General features: G+C 42.4%; 1 long non-coding RNA gene and 1 pseudogene across 1 annotated transcript in view, besides 2 other annotated features; one reads left to right on the forward strand and one right to left on the reverse strand.

Annotated features, from left to right (window-relative positions):
* The first annotated feature begins 10,177 nt into the window (after positions 1–10,177).
* The window catches only part of LOC105377803 (uncharacterized), a 47,930-nt gene continuing 32,408 nt past the window's right edge, over positions 10,178–25,699 (forward strand). Inside the window, exons 1-2 of the long non-coding RNA XR_941393.3 lie at positions 10,178–10,292; positions 24,373–24,461. This is a non-coding gene — a long non-coding RNA (uncharacterized LOC105377803). The remainder of the gene's footprint in view (positions 10,293–24,372; positions 24,462–25,699) is intronic.
* SNRPCP6 (small nuclear ribonucleoprotein polypeptide C pseudogene 6) lies at positions 14,715–15,496 on the reverse strand (annotated as a pseudogene).
* Positions 18,884–19,384: an enhancer, noted in NCBI's record as "H3K4me1 hESC enhancer chr8:7004751-7005251 (GRCh37/hg19 assembly coordinates)". NCBI's record gives its function as "activates a minimal SCP1, AML or CMV promoter by ChIP-STARR-seq in naive H9 embryonic stem cells {active_cell/tissue: H9 hESC(naive)}" and the evidence as "EXISTENCE:reporter gene assay evidence [ECO:0000049][PMID:30033119]".
* Positions 24,428–25,052: an enhancer, noted in NCBI's record as "OCT4-NANOG hESC enhancer chr8:7010295-7010919 (GRCh37/hg19 assembly coordinates)". NCBI's record gives its function as "activates a minimal SCP1, AML or CMV promoter by ChIP-STARR-seq in primed H9 embryonic stem cells {active_cell/tissue: H9 hESC(primed)}" and the evidence as "EXISTENCE:reporter gene assay evidence [ECO:0000049][PMID:30033119]".

Here is a 25,699-nt window from a genome sequence, read left to right on the forward strand (position 1 = left end):
TTACACTATCTCTCTCCCCAGTCTCACTTTTTGTGTCTGTCTCTGATCTCTGTCTCTTTTTCTTTCTATTCCTCGTCCTGGCTCTCCACATGTGCCATTTTCTTGGTGGATGGTAACTTCATCTCTTCTTCTGATATCACCATTTTGTTCACCCTGCGAGTCGATGATGCTCGATTGCGTGTTTTCTGTCTCTGCGGAGGCACTTTCATTTGCATCTCTGATAGGTTCATTGTAGAACTTCAAATGTCTAGTGGGTATCCAAACAGGAAGCTGATTTTCTTCTGGTGAAACACGAACAAAACCTCTCCCCCATGTTATCACTTTACCTATTTCCCATGTTTTGTTTTGTTGTCTTTCCACCAAATCAATTTTCACTCATGTGGGCTGTTCTTTTCACCAGTAAAATGTTCTGCAGAAGTAGTGGTCTCATTTCTATGTATGTTTAGAAAATTTAAAGTATAGAGTGTTAGATTAAGTTGCATCTGGGAAGTGTTATACTCCTTACTGTCTGTTTCCTTTTTTTGTTTAACCAATTGAGCTTTGAGTGTTCTAAGCAGGACAGGTAAGATCTGCGTCTGGCACAGCCAGCCAGGTCTCCTTACCCTCGGCCTCCCTTTCTGCCTGTGACTGAATGGGTATGTCATGGTCTAGTAGGGGATCCAGGAGGAGGAAGCCTCATTAACTTCTATTCTGCAGCAATTGATGGCCACCCAACTTGAACAGTGGGGGCTTATCACCTCATGTATTAAGACCGGAGATAGCTGATGCCAAGGTTGGCTAAATTAGTAGCATGAGATGTTAGGTTTTTCATTTGAGGTTTCTATGGTGCTATTGCCTTCTGCTCTTGGTCACAGAGGCTGCCACAATCCGCATGTCAAGTCCTCATGTGACAATATCCAGACACAGCAAGGAAGAGGTACAGTGTATTCCTGCATGTTTCTTAAAAAAATATTTTTGATAGAGAATAATTGTACAGATTTTTGGGTTCCATGTGAGGTTCCGGTACATGCATGCAATGTGTAATGATCAAATCAGGGTCTTTAGGATATTAATCACCTCAAACATTGATCATTTCTTTGTGTTGGGAATATTTCAAATCTTATTGCTATTTAGAAATATACAATAAATCCATTTATCAGGATACAAAATCTATGTACACACATCAGTAGCAGTGCTATACACCAACATCTACCAGGCTGAGAATCAAATCAAACCCTTTTATAATAGCTGTAAAAATAAAATACTTAGGAATATACCTAACCAAGGAGGTGAAAGACTCCTACAAGGAAAACTACAAAACACTGTTGAAAGAAATCATAGATGACAAAACAAATGGAAACACATTCCATGCTCATGGATGGGTAGACTCAATATTGTGAAAATGACCATACTGCCAAAAGCAGTCTACAAATTCAATGTAATTCCTATCAATATACCATCATCTTTCTTTATAGAACTGGAAAAAAAAAATGCCAAAATTCCGTTGGAACTAAAAAAGAGTCTGCACAGCCAAAGCAAAACTAAGCAAAAAGAACCAATCTAGAGGCATCACATTACCCAACTTCAAACTATATTACAAGACTATAGTCACCAAAACAGCATGGTGCTAGTATAAAAATAGGCACATGACCAATGGGACAGAGTAGAGAAGCTAGAAATAAAGCCAAATAGTTAACAGCCAGCTGATCTTCGACAAAGTAAACAAAAACAAAGTAGGGAAAGTACACCCTATACAACAAATAGTGCTGGGATAATTGGCAAGCCACATGTAAAAGAATAAAACTGAATCCTCATCTCTCACCTTATACAGAAATCAACATAAGATGGATCAAAGACTTAAATCTAAGGTCTGAAACCATAAACATTCTAGAAGATAACATTGGAAAACGCTTCTACACATTGGCTTAGGCAAACAGTTCATGACCAAGAACCCAAAAGTAAATGCAACAGAAACAAAGATAAATAGATGGGACTCAATTAAACTAAAAGCCTCCTGCACAGCATAGGAAATAATCAGCAGAGTGAACAGATCACCCACAGAGTGGGAGAAAATTTTCGCAAACTGCATCTGACAAAGGACTAATGTCCAGAATCTACAGGGAACTCTAATCAGCAAGAAAAAATAATCCCATCAAAAAGTGTGCCAAGGACATGAATAGACAATTCTCAAAAGAAGATATACAAATGGCCAACAAACATATGAAAAAATGCTCAACATCACTAATTACCAGGGAAATGCAAATCAAAATCACAATGCAATACTACATGTAAAATAAACAAAAATAGGGCCGGGTGCGGTGGCTCACGCCTGTAGTCCCAACACTTTGGGAGGCCGAGGTGGGCTGATCAGGAGGTCAGGAGTTTGAGACCAGCCTGACCAACATGGTGAAACCCAGTCTCTACTGAAAATACAAAAATTAGCCGGGCATGGTGGCAGTTGCCTGTAATCCCAGCTACTCAGGAGGCTGAGGCAGGAGAATTGCTTGAACCCGGGAGGCAGAGGTTGCAGTGAACTGATATGGCACCATTGTACTCCAGCCTGGGAGACAGAGCAAGACTCCGTCTCAAAAAAAAAAAAAACAAAAAAAGCAAAAATTGGTGTTGACACGGACATGGTGAAAGAAAACGCTTTTACACTGATGGTGGGAATGTAAGCTAGTACCGCCACTATGGAAAGCAGTATGGAGATTCCTTAAAGAACTATAAGTAGATCTACCATTTGATCCAGCAATCCCACTGCTAGGTATCTACCCAGAGGAAAAGAAGTCATTATATGAAAAAGATACTTTTGCACACATGTTTACAGCAGCAAAATTCACAGTTGCAAAACTATAGAACCAGCCCAAATGCCCATCAATCAATTAGTGGATAAAGAAAATGTATATATATATATGTATACACACACACACACACATATATATACCATATACACAAATATACACATACACAAATATACACATATATATACCATAGAATACTACTTAGCCTTAAAAAGGAATGAAATAATGGCTTTCATAGCAACCTGGATGGAGTTGGAGACCATTATTCTAAATAATGTAACTCAGGAATGGAAAACCAAACATTGCATGTTCTCACTCTTAAGTGGGAGGTAAGCTATGATGATGCGAAGGCACAAGAATGAAACAGTGGACTTTGGGGGCTCAGGGGGAAGGTGGGAGGGGTTGAGAGATAAAAGACTATGCATTGGGTAAACTGCTTTGCTGATGGGTATGCCAAAATTTCAGAGATCACCACTAAGGAATTTATCCATGTAACAAAATACCACCTGTTCCCTAAAAACTATTGAAATGAAAAATATATATACACAACAAATTGTTGTAGTCACTTTCTGTGATAATGAACACTAGATCTTATTCCTTCTATTATATATTTTTATACCCATTAATCAACTTCTTTTCAAACCCCTCCTAATCCCAGCCTCTGGTAACTATCATTCTATTCTTTATCTCCATGATATCAATTTTATATAGCTCCAGGGCACACAAGTCCATAATTGCAGTCTCTATCCCTGATCCTACTGACCTGAAACATGGCCCCCACTTTGATTTCCAGGAGCATAAACTGCTCATATAAGTGAGAACATGAAATAGTTTTCTTTCTGTGCATGGCCTAGTTCACCTAACTTTATGACCTTTAATTCCATCCATTTAGCTGAAAATGACAGGATTTCATTCTTCTTTATGGCTGAGTACTATTCTCTTGTGCGTATATTCCCATTTTCTTTATCCATTCATCCATTGATTGACACTTAGATTGATTCCATATCTTGGCTACTGTAAATAGTGCTGCAGTAAATATGGGGGTACAGATATCCCGTTGATACACTGATATCCTTTTTTTTGGGTATATACCCAGGAGTGGGATTGCTGGATCATATGGTAGATCTGTTCTTAGTTTTTTGAGAAATCTCTGTACTTTTTTTCATAGTGGCTGTACTAATTTACATTCCCACCAACAATATACGATAATTTTCTTCTCTTCACATTCTTGCCAGCATTTGTTGTGCTTTGTCTCTTTAATAATAGCCATTCTAACAAGTGTGAGATGATATCTCACTGTGGTTTTGATTCGCATTTCCGTGATGATTAGTGATGTTGAATATTTTTTCATAAACTTGGTGATTTGTATATCCTCTTTTGAGGAATGTCTGTTTATTTTTTGATAGTTTCTTTTGCTGTGCAGAAGCTCTTTCATTTAATTAGATCCCATTTGTCAATTTTTGCTTTTGTGGCAATTGCGTTTGGCATCTTCACCATGAACTCTCTGCCCATCACTATGTACCGGATGGTATTGCCTAGGTTGTCTTCCAGGGTTTTTATAGTTATGGGTTTTACATTTAAGTCTGTAGGCCATCTTGAGTTAATTTTTGTATATGGTGTAAGGGAGGGGTGGTGTCTTTTCACTCTGTTGATTGTTTTCTATGATATGCAGAAGGTATTTAATTTAATATAATCCCATTTGTCTGCTTTTGTTGCTTGTACTTTTTAAGTGTTAGCCATACAATCTTTGTTCTGAAGCGTTTCTCCTGTGTTTATTTCCAGTAGTTTTATAGTTGTGGCTGTTACATTTAAGTCTTTAATTGATTTTGAGTTTATTTTTGTAAGTGATGAGAGATAAAGGTCTAGTTTTATTCTTCTGTGTTTGGATATCTAGTTTTCCTGGCACCATTTAATGAAGAGGGTGTCTTTTATTCAATGTACGTTCTTGACACCTTTCTTGAAAATCAGCTGTAAATATGTGGATTCATTTCTGGGTTCTTTAGTCTGTTTCCTTTGTTTTTGTGTGTGTTTTAATACCAATACACGCTGTTTTGGTTACTATAGCTTTGCAGTATGTGTATATATATATATATATTTTGTTTGTTTGTTTGTTTTTTTGAGACGGAGTCTTTCCTTGTCACTCAGGCTGGAGTGCAGTGATGCAATCTCGGCTCACTGCAAGCTCCGCCTTCCGGGTTCACGCCATTCTCCTGTCTCAGCCTCGGCTAATTTTTTTGTTTTTTTTTTTTAGTAGAGACGGGGTTTCACCGTGTTAGCCAGGATGGTCTCAATCTCCTGACCTCATGATCCACCCTCGTTGGCCTCCCCAAGTGCTGGGATTACAGGCGTGAGCCACCACGCCCAGCTGCTTTGCAGTATACTTTTACGTCAGGTAGTGTGAGACTTCTAGCTTTGTTCTTTTTGCTCAGTTTTGCTTTGGCTATCTGGGGACTTCTGTGGTTCCATATGAATTTCAGGGTTTTTTTTTTTTTCCTGTTTCTGTGAAGAATATAATTGATAGGGATTATACTGAATCTCTAGATTGCTTAGGGTAGTATGGTCATTTTAACAGTATTAGTAATTCCAACCCATGAGCATGAGATGCTTTTCCATTTGTTTGTGTCTTCTCAATTTATCAGTGTTTTGTGGTTTTCATTGCAGAGGTCTTTTTTTTTCTTTTTCCCCATCCTTGGTTAAGTTTATTCCTAGGTATTTTATTTTTGTAGCTATTGTAAATAGAAATTCTTCCTTGGTTTCTTTTTTCGCTAGTTTTTTACTGGTATATAGAAACATTACTGATTTTTGTATGTTGATTTTGTGTCCTGAAGCTTTACTTATACATCTGTTTTTTTAAAAATTTTTTGTTTTTTATTTTTTGAGATAGAGTCTTTCTCTGTTGCCCAGGCTGGAGTGCAGTGATGCAACCTTCACTCACTACAACCTCCGCCTCTGGGTTTCAAGCGATACTCCTGCTTCAGCCTCCCAAGTAACTGGGATTACAGGCACCTACCACCATGCCTGGTTAATTGTATTTTTAATAGAGACAGGATTTCACCATGTTGGCCAGGCTGGCCTCAAACTCCCAAGCTCAGGTGATCCGCCCACCTTGGCCTCCCAAAGTGCTGGGATAACAGGCATGAGCTACCATGTCCAGCCTAATTTATCAATTTCAAGAGTTTTTGGTGGAGTCTTTAGGTTTTTCTGTTTACAAGTATAAGATTATGTCATCTGCAAAGTGAGACAATTTGACTTCCTCTTGTCTAGTTTGGATGCCTTTTATTTCTTTATCTTGTCTGATCACTCTGGCTTGGATGTCCCATATTGTGTTGAATAAGAATGGTGAAAGTGGGCATCCTTGTCTTGTTCCAGTTCTTGGAGGAAAAGCTTTTCAGTTTTTCCCAGTGAGTAGGATATTAGCTGTAGATTAGTCATATATGCCTTTTCTTATGTTGAAGTGTTCCTTCTATGCCTAATTTGTTGAGAGTTTTCATCATGAAGGAATGGTAAGTTTTACCAAGTGATTTTTCTGCATCTGCTGAGATGATCAGATAGTTTTTGCCTTTCATCTTGTTGATGTGATGTATCACATGCACTGATTTTGTGTATGTTGAGCCATCTTTGCATTCCTGGGATAAATCCCACTTGATCATGGTATATTATCTTTTTCATTCATCATTAGATTTGGCTTGGTAGTATTATGCTGAGAATTTTTGCATCTGTGTTCATTAGGAATATTGGCCTGTAGTTTTCTCTTTCTGTTGTGTCCTTGTCTTGATTGGATATCAGGGTAATGCTGGCCTTATACAATGAGTTAGGAAGAATTCCCTCCTCTTCAATTTTTGGGAATAGTTTGAGAAGTATTGGTGTTTGTTTTTCTTTATAAACTGGGTAGAAATCAGTATAAAAGCCTGGTCTAGGGCTTTTCTCTTTGGAGAGACTTTTTGTTACTGATTCAAACCTGCTATTCATTTTGAGTCAGTTCAGGTTCTCTCTTTCTTCCTAGTTCAATCTTGGTAGGCTGTGTATGTCTGGGAATTTATCCCTTTCCTCTAAGCTTTCCAATTTGTTAGGGTATGGTTGTTCGTAATAGCCTCTAATGATCCTTTTTATTTCTTTGGTAACAGTTGTAATGTCTCCTTTTTCATTTCTGATTGTATTTATTTGGGTCTCCTTTCTTTTTTTTTGGTTAGCCTCACTAGTGGTTTATCAATTTTGTTTAACTTTTCAAAAAAACAACTTTTATCTTGTTGATTCTTTGCATTTCTTTTTTGTCTCTGTTGCATTTGGTTCTGCTGTTATTTTTTTTTTCTTTCTACTAATTGTGTGTTTGGTTTGTTCTTGCTTTTGGAGTTCCTTGAGGTGCATCGTTAGGTTGTTTATTTGAGATCTTTCTACTTTTTTAGTGTAGGCATTTATTGCTATGAACTTACCTCCTAGTACTGCTTTTTTCTGTATCCCATAGGTTTTGCATGATGTGTTTCCATTTTCTGTTTAAAAAATTTTTTTGATTTCCATCTTAATTTCTTCATTGACCCAATGATCATTCAATAGCACATTTATTGTTCATGTATTTGTACACTTTCCAAATTTCTTCTTGTTATTGATTTCAAGTTTTATTCCATTGTGGTCTGAGAAGATAGTTGATATGATTTTAATGTTTAAAATTTTGTTGAGCCTTGTTTTGTGTCCTAACATATGGTCTATCCTGGAGAATGTTCCATGTGTTGATGAGATGATTGTGTATTCTGCTGCTGCTGGATGAAATATTCTGAAAATATCTGTTAGGTCCATTTGGTCTAAAGTGCAGCTTAAATCTAATGTTTGTTTGTTGATTTTATGTCTAGATGAACTGTCCAATGCTGAGAGTAGGATATTGAAATTCTCAACTATCATTGTATTGGACTCTATCTCTCCCTGTAGATTTAATAATATTTGCTATGTGTGTCTGGATGCACTTGTGTTGGTTGCATGCACATTTAGAATTGTTATATTTTGCTGCTTAATTTTTCCCTTTATTACCATATAATGACCTTCTTTGTCCTTTTTACAGTTTTTGACTTAAAGTCTGTTTTATCTGATGCAAGTTTAGCTACTCCTGATTACTTTTGATTTCTGTTTGTGTGGTATATTTTTTTCAATCCCTTCACTTTCAGTCTGTGTGTGTCTTTACAAGTGAAGTGAGTTTCTTGTAGATGTTGTTGGGTCATTTTTTATCCATTAAGCCTGTCTGTACCTTTAGGTAGGTAATTTAACACATATTCGAAGTTATTATTGATAGGTGAGGACTTATTCGGGTCATTTTGTTCATTGTTTTCTGGTTATTTTGTATATCCTTTTGATTTGGTTTGGCTGTGTCCCCACTCAGATCTCATCTTGAATTCCCATGTGTTGTGGGAGGGACCCAGTGGGAAGTAGTTGAATCATGGGGGCAGGTATTTTCCATGCTATTCTTTTGATAGTGAGTAAGTCTCCTGAGATCTGATGGTTTTAAAGGAGGAGTTTCCCTGCTCAAGCTCTCTCTTTGCCTGCTGCCATCCCTGTAAGATGTGACTTGTCTCTCCTTCACTTCCACAATGATTTTGAAGCCTTCCCAGCAACAAAGAACTGTAAGTCCATTAAACCTCTTTCTTTTGTAAATTTCCCAGTCTTATATGTGTCTTTATCAGCTGTGTGAGAATGGACTAATACAGTAAATTGGTACCAGAAGTGGGGTGTTCCTAAAAGATACCTGAATATGTGGAAGTGACTTTGGAACTGGGAAACAGGCAGAGGTTGGAGGGCTCAGAAGGAGACAGGAAAATATGGGAAAAGTTGGAAGAGATTTCCTAGAGACTTGCCCAAAATGCTAATGGTTATATGGACAATAAAGTCTAGGCTGAGGTGGTCTCAGATGGAAATGAGAAACTTGCCGGGAACTGGCACAAAAGTGACTCCTGTTATGTTTTAGCAAAGAGACTGGTGGCATTTTGCCCCTGCTGTAGAGATTTGTGGAACTTTGAACTTGAGAGAGATGATTTAGGGTATCTGGTAGAAGAAATTTCTAAGCAGCAAAGCATTCAAGAGATGACTTGGGTGCCGTTAAAGGCCTTCAGTTTTATAAGGGAAGCAGAGCATAAAAGTTTGGAAGATTTGCAGCCTGACAATGCAATAGAAAAGAAAATCCCATTTTCTCAAGAAAAATTCAATCTGGCTGCAGAAGTTTGTTGAAGTAACGAGGAGTCAAATGTGAATCTCCAAGACAATGGGGAAAATGTCTCAAGGGCATGTCACAGAGCTTCATGGCAGCCCGTCCCATGAAAGGCCCAGAGGCCTAGGAAGAAAAGATGGTTTTGTGGACTGGACCCAGGGACCCCTGCTGTGAGCAGACTCGGGTGCCTGAGTCTTAGCCACTCCAGCTGCAGCTAAAAGGAGCCAAGGTACAATGTGGGCTGTGGCGTCAGAGGGTGCAAGCCCCAAACCTTAGCAGCTTCCAAATAGTGTTGAGCCTGTGGGTGCACAGAAGTCAAAAATCGTGGTTTGGGAACTGCTGCCTAGACTTCAGAAGGTGTATGGAAATGCCTAGTTGTCCAGGCAGGAGTTGGCTGCAGGGGCAGGGCACTCATGGAGAACCTGTACTAGGGTAGTGCAGAAGGGAAATGTGGGGTCAGAGCCCCCACCTAGAGCCCCTACTGCAGTACCACCTAGTGGAGCTTTGAGAAGACGGCCACAATCCTCCAGACCCCAGAATGGTGGATTCACTGACAGCTTGCACTGTGTGCCTGGAAAAGCTGCAGACACTCAATGCCAACCCATGAAAGGAGCCAGGAGGGGGTTTATACCCACAAAGCCACGGGAGTGGAGTTGTGGCCTTTTTTCTCCCAAAGCCATGGGAGCCCACCTCTTACATCAGCATGACCTGCATGTGAGACATGGAGTCAAAGGAGATCATTTTGGAGCTTTGAGATGTCAGTGCCCCACTGGATTTTGGGCTTGCATGGGGCCTGTAGCCCCTTTGTTTTGGCAATTTTGTCCCACTTGGAATGACTGTATTTACCCAATGCCTATACCCCCATTGTATCTAGGAAGTAACTAACTTGTTTTTGATTTTACATGTTCATAGGCGGAAGGGATTTGCCTTGTCTCACATGAGACTTTGGACTGTGGACTTTTGAGTTAATGCTGAACTTAGTTAAGACTTTGGAGGACTGTTGGGAAGGCATAATTTGTTTTGAAATGAGATTAGGCAAGGGCCAGGGGCAGAATGATATGCTTTGGTTGTGTGCCCACCCAAATCTCATATTGAATTCCCACATGTTGTGGGAGGGACCCGGTGGGAAGTAATTGAGTCATGGGGGTAGGTCTTTCCCATGCTGTTCTCGTGACACTGAATACGTCTCACAAGGTCTGATGGTTTTAAAAAGGGTAGTTTCCCTGCAGAAGCTCTCTCTTTCTCTGCTTCCATCCAGCTGAGACATGACTTGCTTTTTCTTGCCTTCTAACATGATTGTGAGGCTTCCTCAGCTACGTGGAAATGTAAGTCCATTAAACCTCTTTATTTTGTAAACTGCCCAGTCTCAGTCAGGTATGTCTTTATCAGCAGTGTGAAAACAGACTAATACACCTTTGTTCCTTTTTTCTCTCATTATTTATTGTTGCAGTTTGGTGGTTTTCTTTAGTGGTGACGTTTGAATCCTTTCTCCTTTGTGTGTCTGCGCTACCATGAGTTTTATACTTTCATGTATTTTCATGATGGTAGATATTGTTCTTTTGCTTCCCAGTGTAGGACTCCCTTAAGCATTTTTTGTAGGACCACAACAAACAAGACACAAACAAACAGTCTTTTGCTTATCTGGGAAATATTTTTTCTCTTTTTTAAGCACTGGAGTCTCACTCTGTCACCCAGGCTGGAGTACAGTGGCATGATCATAGCTCACTGCAGCCTTGAACTCCTGGGCTCAAATGATCCTCCTTCCTCAGCCTTCTGAGTCTCTGGAATTGCAGATGTGAGCCACTGTGCCAGTCTTCTTCATTTGTGAAGGATAGCTTTGCTGGTTTTAGCAATTTTGCCTTACATTTTTTTTTTTTTTAACTTGTAGTATACATCCCCTTTTCTCCTAGCCTGTAAGGTTTCTGCTGAGAAATTCCCCGTTAGCCTGATGGAGATTCTCTTATAAGTGACTTGATGCTTTTCTCTTGCTGTTTTTAGCATTTTCTCTTTGTCTTTTGACAATTTTACCATAAAGTCCTTGGAGAAGACCTTTTTGAGTAGTGTTTATTTGGTAATCTTTGAGATTCCTTTATTTGGAAGCTTTCAGGAAGTGTTCAGTTATTATTTTATTAAATAGGTTTTCTATGCTTTTACCCATCTCATCTCCATCCAGAACTCCCAGAATTTCAGTTTTTGGTCACATATGTGTCCCATATGTCATGTAGCCTTGCTTCATTCTTTTTTCTTTCTTTTTGTCTGACTGGATTATTTTAAAAGACTAGTCTTCAGGTTCAGAAATTCTTTGTTTTGCTTGATCTAGTCTATTGTTAAAGCTGTCAGTTGTCTTTTGTATTTCTTTCAATGATTTCATCTCTTCCAGGATTTGTGTTTGGTTCTTTGTTATGCTGTCTATCCCTGTTGAATTTCTCATTCAGATCATGAATTGTTTTCCTGATTTTTTTGTATTCATTATCTGTGCTCTCTTATATCTCCCTGAGTTTCTTTAATATCATTATTCTGATTTTTTTTCAGGCATTTCATAGATTTTCTTTTCATTGAAATCTGTTGCTGGAGAATTATTGTGCTTCTTTGGAGATTTTATGTTTCCTTTTTCATATTTCTTGCGTCCTTATGTGACTACTTGTGCCTCTGACATAGCAGTCACTTCTTCCAATTTTCTGGGTTGGCTTTTATATGGGAAAGACCTTTTCTTATAGCTGTATCTACAGCGTTCATTGGATATCACACTTTGGCTTTGATTCTGGGTGGGTACAGTGGTATAGGCTGCATATGATTTCTTCAGCTGTAATTGGCATGAGTGGTGTCTGTGAGTTATTCAGTGGCTTAGACAGCAGTTTTTTTTGTTTGTGTGTTTGTGATTGAGATGGAGTCTAGCTCTGTCACCAGGCTGGAGTACAGTGACACAATCTAAGCTCACTGCAACTTCTGCCTCCCAGGTTCAAGCGATTCTCCTGCCTCAGCCTCCTGAGTAGCTGGGACTACAGGCACCTGCTACCACGCCCAGCTAATTTTTGTATTTTTAGTAGAGATGGGGTTTCACCACGTTGGCCAGGCTGGTCTTGAACTCCTGACCTCGTTATCTACCTGCCTCAGCCTCTCAAAGTGCTGGGATTACAGGTGTGAGCCACTGCGCCCAGCCAGACTGCAGTTGTTATTGGAGGCTGTGGTGAGGCTTTGCTGAGGATGGGGATGCCTGGAAGTCTTGTCCTTCAGCATCAGTGGTAGTGGTGGTAGAACAGGTGTGTCAATACTAGTGACCATGTGCAGTGTATGTGGGCACTGATGATAGCCTGTCTGCATGGGCCAATCCCTGGGCCTCCAGGTGGCTTCTTTGGTTGCTGGCAGTGGCAGCACTGGGCCAGGTGGGCGGGTGCGCCACTGGGCTCCTGGGTTGTGTGTGTGGCAGGCTGATCTCTAGTTCTCCAGGTGACGTGTGCAGGTTCTGGTGGTGGGTAGGCAGGTGTTTCCTCAGGCCTCTCAGTAGTAAGTGTGAGCGCCAGCTCTGGAGGCAGTGTGAGTCAGTCTCCAGGCCCCCAGATGGTACATTCAGGCACCAGCATATTCCTATGCATTTCTAGATAATAGTATTTTTCAGAAAACCTGAGCATATGTCCTATTAATACAACTTTCCCTCATCAGCTCTGCATGAGAAGAAGGGGGATTTCCCTCAGTAGAACAGTCACAATGGAATCATAGACTTGTTTTGAGCCACTCACTGGTATGTGGGGGTAGGCTAAAATGATAAGCTCAGAATCTAAACCTTAGACTAGGGAATGGCTAACTTTTTCCATAAAGAAGCAAACGGTAATATTTTAGGCTTTTGGTCTGAATAACCTCTGTTGCAGTGACGCAGTGGTGCCATCGTAGTTTAAAACATATGTAGACAAGGCATAAATGAATGGACCTGGTTTTATTCCAGTAAAACTTAATTTATACAAACAGTCAGAGGGCCAGATTTGGCCCTTGGTCTATAGTTTGCCAACCCTGTTTAGACAAGTCACAATTTATTCCCTGGGGCTGGGCCAATTTTTTCTAAAAAAAAAAAAAAAAAAAAAAGAAAGCAACCCGCTTTCAGAATAAAATAGGGTTTCTATTTAAAAAGAAGAGGCTGGGTGTGGTGGCTCATGCCTATAATCCTAGCACTTTGGGAGGGTGAGGCAGGAGGACTGCTTGAGGCCAGGAGTTTGAAACCAACTTGGGCAATATAGTGAGATCCTGTCTTTGCAAAGAATAAAAAAATTAGCCAGGCATGGTGGCACATGTCAGGAGTCTTAGCTACGTAGGAGGTTGAAGGGGAAGATCAGGGGAGCCCAGGATTTTGAGGTTACAGTGAGCTCTGACTGTGCCACTTGTACTCTAGCCTAGGCAAAGAATAAGACTCCGTTTCAAAAAAAAAAAAAAATGGTTGGTTGGGGTGGGTTGGAGAAGAAAGTATTTCTGAATTTCTGGGTAGGTAACTGGTAGTGTCAGGGCAAACTAGCTCTACAGTCTTATTCATTATAAATAAAGGCAACTAGAAGATCTCCATCTAGCTATTAAAAATTGGTTAAAATCTACAGAGATAAAGTATGGTGACCCTTGTATCAGTTAGTTATTGTCACAAAATGCTGCATAACAAGTCACTCCAAATCTCAGTGGCTTAATACAACAGTTATTTATTTTCATGGATCTATGGGTCAGCTGAGGATTGGTTAATCTAGCATAAGCATGTCTGGGAAGCTCTACTTTGCTCTTGGTGTCTCTTATCTTCTGCTGGAAGCAGCAGGCTGGCCTGGGCTTGTTCTCATGGTGATAGCAGGAGTGAGCGAGCACAAATGAATGCACACTTTCCAAGTTTTTGGTCATGCAGATTAATATTCCAGTGGCCAAAGCTAGACACATGACTAAACCCAACATTAGGGGCTGGAGAAATATACTCTGATTCTTCAGTGGGAGGAACTGCAGAGACAAATGACAGAGTCTTGGATACAGGGAGGACACGGATCCATTAATGTACCTTAATCAACCGCAACCCTCTAACCACCAATGCAATTAAATAAGTATTTGTTGAATGCACTTGTGCCTGAATGCTTCTGGCTGCAGCCCAGGCAATGGGGGCCTGACTGGGAAGGGACCATAGCAGGGACTCGATGTCCTGCAGGTCTGCATGTAACTGTGCACGGCCGACTCCCCATTGGTCATGGCTGATTTGCTTTATCCTGCGACCCCAAGGGGCAACGATTACCTGATTTTATTTCTGAACAGTTTTGACAAAGTTGTTTTCAGGAGCCCAGGAAGCAAATCAATTGTAGATTTGAATTTTGCAGGGGGTCAGAATTGTTTAATATATATATAGTCTTTTACATGCTGATAATTATTTCCATACCACAAAGAAGGCCGGCTATTAGGAGGCTGCTGTTCAATTCCTTTGCCCCGTGAGCTCATGAGCTGTGTCTATGTGGGGGGCACTCACTTGTTAGAGATATTTCCCTTCAGAATAACATTAGCCAATATTCTAAATAAATGCAGGAAATTAAATAGTCTTCCCCAGACAGGTACTTTGCACTTCTAAAGTGAATTACACATTCTAAAATAAAACACAGTCACATTAAAAAAACAAAAGGTCTTTGTGTTAGGTTGGTCTGGCATCAGCAAAGATATTTTCCTCCAGAGTAGAAGATCCTTGTAATGCACGATATTGCGTGTGGCAGCCCCACATCTCGTTTCCTTTTTTTTGTTGTTGTTGTTTTTAACTAAAAGAGTTGACAATTTTATTTTCACATTTCCCAATACAAATGAAAACTGCATCTTTTTTGGTCCCACTTCTCCCCTCCAAAACTATTCTCTTTGATAGGGCAACGGGGCAAGTCTTCCTTATGCTGTTAAGAAAACCCGGCATCACAGCAGCATGATCTCCTGGTGAAGGGAGCAGGTAAATATAAAACTCATATAGGCCGGGTGCAGTGGCTCACACCTGTAATCCCAGCACTTTGGGAGGCTGAGGCGAGCGGGTCACGAGGTCAGGAGATTGAGACCATCCTGGCCAACATGGTGAAACCCTGTCTCTACTAAAATAAAAAAAATCAGTCGGGCATGGTGCGCATGCCTGTAGTCCCAGCTACTCAGGAGGCTGAGGCAGGGGAATCGCTTGAACGCGGGAGGTGGAGGTTTCAGTGAGCTGAGATCGTGCCACTGCACTCCAGCCTGGGCGACAGAGGAAGACTGTGTCTCAAAAACAAAACAAAACATTACAAACAAAGAAAACACAACAATAATAACAACAAAACAACACTGATGTAATGAGGCCTCCCCTCTATCCTTATCTGTCTGGTTGAGTCATTCTGGGCTGACTGGGCACCATCATGAGACGGGCAGGAGGTCTCATCATTGGGCACCCAGGCATCATGGGCATGTGGCCTTCCATGGGTGGCCTCATTCCAGGAGCAGGTCTCACTGGCATCATCCCAGGAGGAGGAGGGCCCATCATTGGCATCATGGGAGGGCCCCCCATATGGGGTGCTGCCATCATTCTGAGATGTGCTAGAAGTGTCAAATACACATTAGATTGTGAAGACTTAATATAAAAAGAAAGCAAAGTATTTTGTTAATGTTAAAATATTTTATACTTGTAGACCTGGTATTTCGGATAGATTTGTTTAAATCTGTGATATTATTCCAATTACCTTCACTTCTTTTGTTTTACTTTTTAAAATGTGGTTACTACAAAATGCAAAAGTAAATATGTGGCTTCCATCATATTTCATTACATTTAGTGTGGACCCTGAGGATCTAGGGGAGTTATGAGCCTTAAGTTGAGGGTGACCCAGGTCAACATGAATTGCTCTGAAAGAGAAGCAAAGGGCATAAAGAGAACGTATAAATGGAGAGAGGGAGTGAGGAAAGGCTTTCTTTCTTACACAGTCTGGCACTTCTTCAAAAGCTTAAACACAGAGTTCTATGACCCAGCACTTCCACTCCAGTTTATGAAAGAAATGAAAGTATATGTCCGTGCAGAAACTTGTACACAAATGCTCATAGCAACATTATTCATAATAGCGCCAAAGTGAAAACAACACAAATGCTTGTCTACTGATGAGTGGAGAAATAGAACATGGTTTGACCATGCAATGGAATATTATTCAGTCATCAAAAGGAATGAAGTACTGACACGTGCTACAACACGGATGAACTATGAGAATATTATGCTAAGTAGAAGAAACCAGTCACAAAAGGTCACATATTAGAAGATTTCATTTATATGAAATGTCCAGAACACGCAAATCTATGAAGACAGAAACCCTGTCTCTACTAAAAATACAAAATTAGATGGGCGTGGTGGCATATCCCTGTAATCCCAGCTACTCTGGAGGCAGGAGAATTGCTTGAACCTGGGAGGCAGAGGTTGCAGTGAGCCGAGATTGTGCCACTGCACTCCAGCCTGTGATAGAGACTCTATCTCAAAGTAGATTGTCAGGACTTAGTGGGAGGAGGAAATGGCAGGAACCTGCTCATGGATACAGGGTTTCTTTTGGAGTGATGAAAATGTTTTAAAATTGATAATGATGGTGGTCGCCGAGCTCTGTGAATGCACTGAAACTATTGATTTGTTCACTTTAAATTGGCAAAGCATACGGTACCTGAATTATAATAGTAATATTAAAAAAGTAAAATCTTCCTTGAAGAGATGACACTTAAGGAGAGGCCTAGGGGGTGGGATGAGTTCACTATGTAGAGAAATGAGGAACAGCATTTCAGGGTGAGGAACAGCATAGTGAAGTCCCTGAGGTTGATAGGCATAGAGCAGATTTAAGGGACTTTTGTTTTTGAGACGGACTTTCAGTCTTGACGCCCAGGCTTGGGTGGAGTGGTGCGATCCTGGCTCACTGCAACCTCTGCCTCCCGAGTTCAAGCGATTTTCCTGCCTCAGTCTCCCGAGTAGCTAGGATTACAGGTGCCGTCCACCACACGTGGCTAATTTTGGGATATTTAGTAGAGATGGGGTTCCACCATGTTGACCAGGCTGGTCTCGAACTCCTGATCTCAGGTGATCCAGCCGCCTCAGCTTCCCAAAGTGCTGGGATTACAGGCGAGAGGCACTGCGCTCAGCCAGATTTAAGGCACTTTCAAGAAGTTTATGTGGCTGAAGCCTGCAGGGCAAGCAAGAGAATCAGGAAATGAGGCTGGAGAAAGAGAGGGGCTAGGTCATGGAGGGTCTCACATTAGGGTGTGGAAACTTACACGAGTGGTCCCACCTTGGGCATCCCACCTAACTACTCTGTGTCCCAGCTTCCCCACTGGTGAGATCAAGGGCTGATGTAGGGATGGAATGAGATAGTGTGTGCTCAGTAGAGGTGACCTTTTATCATTTTTTTTTTTTTTTTTTTTTGAGATGGAGTCTCACTCTGTCACCCAGGCTGGAGTGCAGTGGCGCGATCTCGACTCACTGCAAGCTCCACCTCCCGAGTTCACGCCCGTCTCCTGCCTCAGCCTCCGGAGTAGCTGGACTACAGGCGCCCGCCACCACGCCTGGCTAATTTTTTTGTATTTTTAGTAGAGACGGGGTTTCACCGTGTTAGCGAGAATAGTCTGAATCTGCTAACGTCGTGATCCGACTGCCTCGGCCTCCCAAAGTGCTGGGATTACAGGCGTGAGCCACCGCGCCCGGCCGAGCTTTTATCATTGTTAACCCACACAGCAGTGGGAGCCACGGAAAGTTGAGTGATCTGTTTGGATGCACCTTCTGAAGTGATTGCTTTGGTCCCTGTGAGGAGTGCAGATTGTCACAGGGCCAGGGAAAAGCAGAGGCCAGTCTGGAGGCATTTGCAGTCAAACACCTGGAGGTGATGGTGGCTTGGTTTATGATGGTGTCAGGAGAGTGGCTGAGCAGTGAAGGATATGAGAAAGATTTAGGAGGTAAAACCCACGTGACTTGGTCACTGAATGTGGGTTGTGTGGGCTGGAGGGAAGGTAAGAAAGAATGAGAAGAAAAACATACTCAAGTTTTGTAGGCTGTACAGGGAGCATGACACTGACATCTGCTGAGCTTCTGTAGAGGCCTCAGGAAACTTACAATGATGGCAGAAGCTGAAGTGGGAGCAAGAGAGTAAGGAGGGAGGTGCTACACACTCGTAAACAACCAGATATTGCAAGAACGCACTCACTATTGCAAAGACAGGACCAAAAGGATGACGATAAATCATTCATGAGAAATCCACCCCCGTGATCCAATCTCTTCCCATCAGGCCCCACCTCTAACACTTGGGATTACATTGCAACATGAGATTTGGGAGCGGACACATATTCAACCTGTCAGCTGCTTTCATTCTATGGGTGACAGAGCTCAGTATCTACTACAAGAGACTGTATGGCCCACGAAGTCTAAAATATTTACTATCTGATGCTTTCAAGTAAAAGCTTGCAAACCCTGCTCTTGAAAAGGAAAGGAAGGGAGAGGAGAGGAGGAAGGCTGGAAGGAGCAGAGAGGAACACGGGGCTGTATTCAAACATCTGTTGTTAAGAAGGAGAAATTCAATTTATTTGGCATGGTCCAAGTTATCAAACTAGGAGCACTCCATTGAAGTTTCAGGACAAACACTGTGCTGAATATAAGGATGACCCCATCTGTAATGCCTAACCTTGTTTTTATTAACTTTGTTCTTAGACTTTCCTTTTCTTTTAATCACTTAGCCTTGTTTCTACCTGAATTGACTTTCTTTTAGCTAAGAGAGCTAGACAGACTTTGTCTTGGCTTTTTCACTGGCAGCCCCTTCCTCAAGGCCATCTCTTGGCCGCCAGCTAAATAAACAGACTTAATTCATGTCAAAGTGTGGCATTTTCTCTAACTCGCTCAAGTACAACATTTGGAGGCCCGAGTGAGAAACGCCACGAGGCAAGAGCTGGGCTCGCTCCGGGCTTCCCCAGAAGGACGGCCGGCTTGTGGGGGGGTGCCATCTGAAAAAAAATTGCAGGTCCCCGAAAGGTGACCGTCTTCCAGAGGAGAGCGGATCGACTACCGTGTGGATGATTAGGACAGTTTCTTCCTTTTTTTTTTTTTCAGACAGACAAGGGGAGGGTTTCCTGTGATGGGATCAGTCAGATGCCTGCCTGGCCGCTCCCCCTGAGGGGACTTGGGCTCCTCTTAGCATTGGCAGGCAGGAATAAACTTCCGGCTCAGATCGAGCTATGCCTGATGCTGCCTTAAGCCTTATGAGGTCGCCACGGAACCGCAGGTGAGGTGAGGACCTACTTGAACTCCGTAGCTTTCGCCGTGGAGCTACAAACTGGAGGACAAGCGCGAGCCCTTGTCCTCCCTCACTCATTCATTATTCACACAGAGTATATAACAGTTTTTTTTTTCTTTCTTGGAGATTCTTCAAGAAACTCGAACAAGAGAAAGATGAGAGATAGAAAAGGAGAGAGAGAGAATGACCGGTCTGCCAGAAACCAGGACTCAGTCCTCCAGCATCCTGGGATGTGGACTGAGTCAAGGGAGGGCCCCTGTCAGGGCCACTTCCCTCCTAGAAAGAGACACAGAGGTGCCTGACAGAAAACCAGGGCTCTACCTTCTAGCGTCCTAGAGAAACAGGCAGAGTCGAAAGAGGGACACCCTCATCAGGGCCGCTTCCCTCTTACTAGAACTGAAGTCAAATCTGACCTACCTGACCTCGGGGTCAGAAGTCGAGGACTCAGAGGTGGAATTCTTATGGGCACCCACAGGGTAGTCGATCCGCTCTCCTCTGGAAGATGGTCACCTTTCGAGGACCTGAAGATTTTTTTTTAGGTGGCACCCCCCACAAGCCGGCCGTCCTTCCGGGGGAGCCCGGCTCTCGCCTATGGCGTTTCTCGCTGGGGCCTCCCAATGTTGTACTTGAATGAGTTAGAGAAAATGCCACACTTTCGCATGAATTAAGAGTCTGCTTATTTAGCTGGTGGCCAAGAAATGGCTAACTCTTAAAGTTCTCTTGGCCCCGAAGAAGGGGCTAGATTTTCTTTTATACTTCAGTTTAGAAAGGGGAAACGGGTCTAGTTAAAAGAATTTTACAGGAGTAAAGTAGACAAAAAAGTTAAAAGGATAAATTGTTACAGGAAAGTAAACAGTTCTAGGTCTAAGGGCTTTAAGACTATTACAAAGTGATAGACGTGGGGCTTTAGGCATTATCAATCGGACAAATTCCTGGGAACTGCGGATATTGCTCGCCCCACAGTATCTTATCAGTTAATTGCATTCTTAGATGTGCTAAGAGTCAGCTTGCACAAGTTAAGTCCTTGAGGAAGGGGCTGCCAGTGAAAAAGCCAAGATAAAAGCTGTCCCCAGTGTTAGAGGTGGGGCCTGGTGGGAAGAGATTGGATCATGGGGGTGGATTTCTCATGAATGATTTTGCATCGTCCTTTTGGTCCTGTCCTTGCAATAGTGAGTGAGTTCTTGCAAGATCGGGTTGTTTACGAGTGTGTCGCACCTCCCTCCTTACTCTCTTGCTCCCGCTTCACCTTCTGCCATCATTGTAAGTTTCCTGAGGCCTCCACAGAAGCTCAGCAGATGTCAGTGTCATGCTCCCTGTATAGCCTACAAAACTGCGAGCCAATTAAACCTCTTTTCTTTATATATTACCCAATCTCAGGTATTTCTTTATAGCATGAGAGAACAGCCAAATCCAGCAGCCATAGACAATATGTAGCAAATGTGCATGGCTGTGTTTCAATAAAACTTTATTGACAAACACATGTGCAAGCAGGTCAGATTTGGCCCATGGGCCATAGTGTCCCAACGTCTGCTCTGGAATATTCTGTTCAGCCTGGATGGACATCTCTAGGTTGTTTTTTTTTTTTTGAGACAAAGTCTCACTGTTGCCCAGGCTGGAGTGCAGTGGTGCATTCTTTGCTCGCCACAACCTCTGCCTCCTGGGTTCAAGCAATTCTCCTGCCTCAGCCTCCCAAGTAGCTGGGATTACAGGCACCTGCCACCACACCTGGCTAATTTTTGTATTTTTTAATAGAAATAGGGTTTCATCATGTTGGCCAGGCTGGTCTCAAACTCCTGACATCAGGCGATCCACCCACCTCGGCCTCCCAAAATGCTGGGATTACAGGTGGCCGCCACCACACCTGGCTAATTCTTTTATTTTTAGTAGAGATGTGGTTTCACTATGTTGCCCTGGCTGGTCTCGAACTCCTGATCTCAAGTGATCCACCTGCCTCGGCCTCCCAAAGTGCTGAGATTACACCTGTGAGCCACTGCAGCTGCCCTCTAGATTTTTCTTGTTTTTTTGATCATTGCTTATTTGGTTTGACTTTCATTTTCTTCCCCATTGTGGTAGTCGTTTTCTGAATGCCTGTTAGTTTGTCCATCTCTCTCCTCTGTAGTCCCTAGAGTCAGATGAACTCCTCTGCAGGTGCAATGGTGTAACACTCTCTAGTGCTGAATTTTGAGCAGGAGAAAGAGAGCAAGAGTGACCAGTACCTTTGGAAACTCTGGCCTCCTGAGAATTTGGTGTCTCCTCTGCAAAGGTTGCATACCTGTTAACCCACAGGCAGGAGAGACAGACAAGCCAGAATCATGATCTGTTGAGCTTGAGTTTAATAACTGATGCACAGAGATCACTGAGTTTTTTGATAAGAATTAGAGTAGGAAGAAATGGCCACAGAGAACAATTTATATCTCCAGGTGAGGACTCAGGAGATAATTCTGCGAACAGAACTTCCTGAGAACTGAGATGGGGTAAATCGCTGGTATTAGAAGAGTGAAAATGTCAGTAATTAAGGCTACGACTGTGCTCTTAGAGGCAAAAGAAGAAAATGAGACTGCCAGGCATGAATAATGAGAAATCTTTGATGGAATTAGCCATGCAGAACAGATACTAAATGCATCCTCATTCTTCTCATAGTCAAAAGTTTCTGCTTAAGCTGGATGGGAAAAAGAGAATCCCATTTCACTAAGTATAAAAGAGGGGATTTTAGAGAAGGTTTCAGAAGTAAGAGATGTGGGGGTTTGGTGAAACTCACCAGAGGCTGAACCCTCTCCTGCATAACACAGGGATTGGGAGGAGCGGGGTGGCATTAGGCCAGATGCATAGCCCAGTGCTGCTCTCTCTGGACTTTCTGCTCTCTCTGGACTTGTTTGCTATCTGAGCTCATCCATTTACATAATTTTCAGTGCCATTTCTCAGCTAATGAGTCCTGAACTTTTGTCTTGAGGCTAGACTTCTCCTTCAAACAGCAGTCTTAAACACTCAACTTCTTTCCTGTTTTTTCCACTTGTCAACTCATGAACACCTCAACCTTGTTACATCCAAAGCCAAACTCATGGCTTGGAGTGGTAGGTGATGGCTGTAATCCCAGTGCTATGGGAGGCTGAGGTGGGAGGATTACTTGAGGCCAGGAGTTGGAAGCCCGCCTGGAAAACACAGTGAGGCTCCCTATCTACAAAAAAAAAAAAAAAAAAGCTAGGCATGGTGATGTGCATCTGTAGGATCTGTAGTCCTGCTACATGGCAGGCTGAGGCAGGAGGATCACTTGAGCCCAGGAGTTTGAGGCTGCAAAGAGCTATGATTGCACCAATGCACTCCAGCCTGGGTGACACAGCCAGAGACCCTGTCTTAAAAAAAAAAAACCCAAAGCTAAACTCTCTTTTTCCTCCTCCTTCTCCATGGGCTCTGTCCATGCCATCTCTGTTCTGTAAATGGCACCACCCCCTGCTGAGCTGCTCAAGGTGGTCATAACTCATGTGTTGTGCTAACTCTGCTTTTGCCCTCTTCTCCAGTCAGCAAGTCCTGTGATTCTAAACTTTATCCAACTTGTCCAGTCTCTGTAGCTTCACTGTCATTATCTTTGCCTAGGACACCGCTATCTCAGCTAGGCTACAGCAGCCTCCTAACTGGTCTTAACTGGTACTCTGCACCTGCTCTCCATGCTCAGCAATCCATTTCCTACCTGGCAACTTCAGTGATCTTAAGGTGTCCATTGAGTCTCATCCCTGCCTTTCCTGCCCATGGTACATAGAATAAAATCGAGACCCCGAGTCTTCTGCCTGTTCCTGCCACCTCTCCAGCCCTCTCCTATCTCCTGCCCTTGGCCTACTCTATTTCAGCCGCTATGGCCTCCTTTTGTTTTCTTGGACTTTCAAACCTTTTTCCACAACACGGCCTTTGCACTTGCTGCTTCAGCCTGGAATGATTTTCCTCTGCACCTCCCCAAATTAGACCATCCTTTAGGTGTCAGCTAAAATGGTGCTTCCACAGACAGCTCTTCCCTGACCCTGCTCTTCTCCACCTTAACGTCTTATTGTTTCTTGTTGTGGGAAGTCAGGGACCCCAAATGGAGAGGGACTGGCTGGAGCCATGGCAGAGGAACATAAATGGTGAAGATTTCATGGACATTTATCAGTTCCCAAATAATACTTTTATAATTTCTTATACCTGTCTTTTATCTCTTAATTCTGTTATATTCATAAGCTAAGGATGTACATCACCTCAGGACCACTGTGATAATTGTGTTAACTGTACAAATTGTAAAACATGTGTATTTCAACAATATGAAATCAGTGCACCTTGAAAAAGAGAATAACAGCAATTTTTAGGGAACAAAGGAAGACATCCATAAGGTCTGCCTGCCTGCAGGGTTGGGCAAAAAGAGCCATATGTTTCTTCTTGCAGAGTCTATAAACGGATGTGCAAGTAGGAGAGATATCGCTAAATTCTTTTCCTAGCAAGGAATATTAATAGTAATACCCTGGGAAAGGAATGCATTCCTGGGGGAAGTTCTATAAATGGCCGCTCTGGGAATGTCTGTCTTATGCGGTTGAGATAAGGACTGAGATACGCCCTGGTCTCCTGCAGTACCCAAAGGCTTACTAGGGTGGAGAAAAACTCCGCCCTGATATATCTGTGGTCAGCCTGGTTCTCTGCTCTTGAACCCTGTTTTCTGTTGTTTAAGATGTTTATCAAGACAATACATGCACCGCTGAACATAGACCCTTATCAGTGGTTCTGCTTTTGCCCTTTGCTTTGTGATCTTTGCTGGACACTTATCAGTAGTTCTGCTTTTGTCCTTTGTCCTGTTCCCTCAGAAGCACGTGATCTTTGTTAGACCCTTAGTAGTAGTTCTGCTTTTTGCCCTTTGAAGCATGTGACCTTTGTACCTACTCCCTGTTCTTACACCCCCTTCCCTTTTGAAGCCCTTAATAAAAACTTGCTCATCTGAGACTCAGGGGGCATCACGGTCCTACTGATGTGTAATGTCACCCGCAGCAGCCCAGCTGTAAAATTCCTCTTTGTAGTGTCTCTCTTTATTTCTCAGCTGGCTGACACTTATGGAAAATAGAAAGAACCTACATTGAAATATTGGGGGCAGGTTCTGCCTATACTTCTTTCATGGATTTACTTATTTTTTATTTGTCCCTCTGTATCCTAGAAACTCCTGGAGGGCAGATGCATGCCTGCCATCTTCATCGTTTCATTACCACCATCCAACACTATCGGGGGACCTGCCCTGATAATCAGGTAGGTTCTTTTCTATTTTCCTAAGTGTCGAGTGGCTTGAGAAATAAAAGGACAGAGTACAAAAGAGAGAAATTGTAAAGCTGGGCGTCTGGGGGGAGACATCACACATTGGTAGGATCCGTGATGCCCCACAAGCCACAAAAACCAGCAAGTTTTTATTAGGGAGTTTCAAAAGTGTAGAGAGTATATGAATAGGTGTGGGTGACAGACATCAAGTACTTAACAGGGTAATAGAATATCACAAGGCAAGTGGAGACAGGGTGAGATCACAGGACCACAGGACGGAAGTGAAATTAAAATTGCTAATGAAGTTTTGGCACCATTGTCATTGATAACATCTTATCAGGAGACAGGGTTTTGAGATCAACCCGTCTGACCAAAGTTTATTAGGCGGGAATTTTCTCTTCCTAATAAGCCTGGGAGTGCTATGGGAGACTGGAGTTTATTTCACCTCTGCAATCTCGACCATAAGAGACAGGTACGCCATGGGTGGCCAGTTCCGAGACCTACCCCTAGGTGCGCATTCTCTTTCTCAGGGACGTTCAATGCTGAGAAAAGGAATTCAACGATATTTCTCCCATTTGCTTTTGAAAGAAGAGAAATATGGTGCTGTTCTGCCCGGCTCACCGGCGGTCAGAGTTTAAGGTTATCTCTCTTATTCCCTGAACAATTGCTGTTATCCTGTTCTTTTTTCAGGGTGCCCACATTTCATATTGCTCAAACACACATGCTGTACAATTTGTGTATGTAACGCAATTATTACAGGTCCTGAGACGATATACATCCTTCTCGACTGACAGGATTAAGAGATTAAAGTAAAGACAGGCATAGGAAATCACAAGGGTATTGATTGGGGAAGTGATAAGTGTCCATGAAATCTTCACAATTTATGTTTAGAGATTGCAGTAAAGACAGGCATAAGAAATTACAAAAGTATTAATTTGGGGAACTAATAAATGTCCATAAAATCTTCATAATCCACGTTCTTCTGTCATGGCTTCAGCCGGTCCCTCCGTTTGAGGTCCTGACTTCCCGCAACATCTCTCCCTTTCTTTTTATATAAATGTGCCATGGCGATGAAGGCTTGTTCGTTCTCTCGATTTTGACACAGGATTATTTGACTGGTACGGCACACTAAAAGCAAGCCGATTAAGCAGAGAAACATAATTCCAAAATTTAGTACAGTGGATCCCCCAATAGACTTAATCCATAAAGATTTTCTGCCACCTGATCTAACG

The sequence above is a fragment of the Homo sapiens genome, chromosome 8, assembly GCF_000001405.40.
Source record: "Homo sapiens chromosome 8, GRCh38.p14 Primary Assembly".
Classification (NCBI taxonomy): domain Eukaryota; kingdom Metazoa; phylum Chordata; class Mammalia; order Primates; family Hominidae; genus Homo; species Homo sapiens.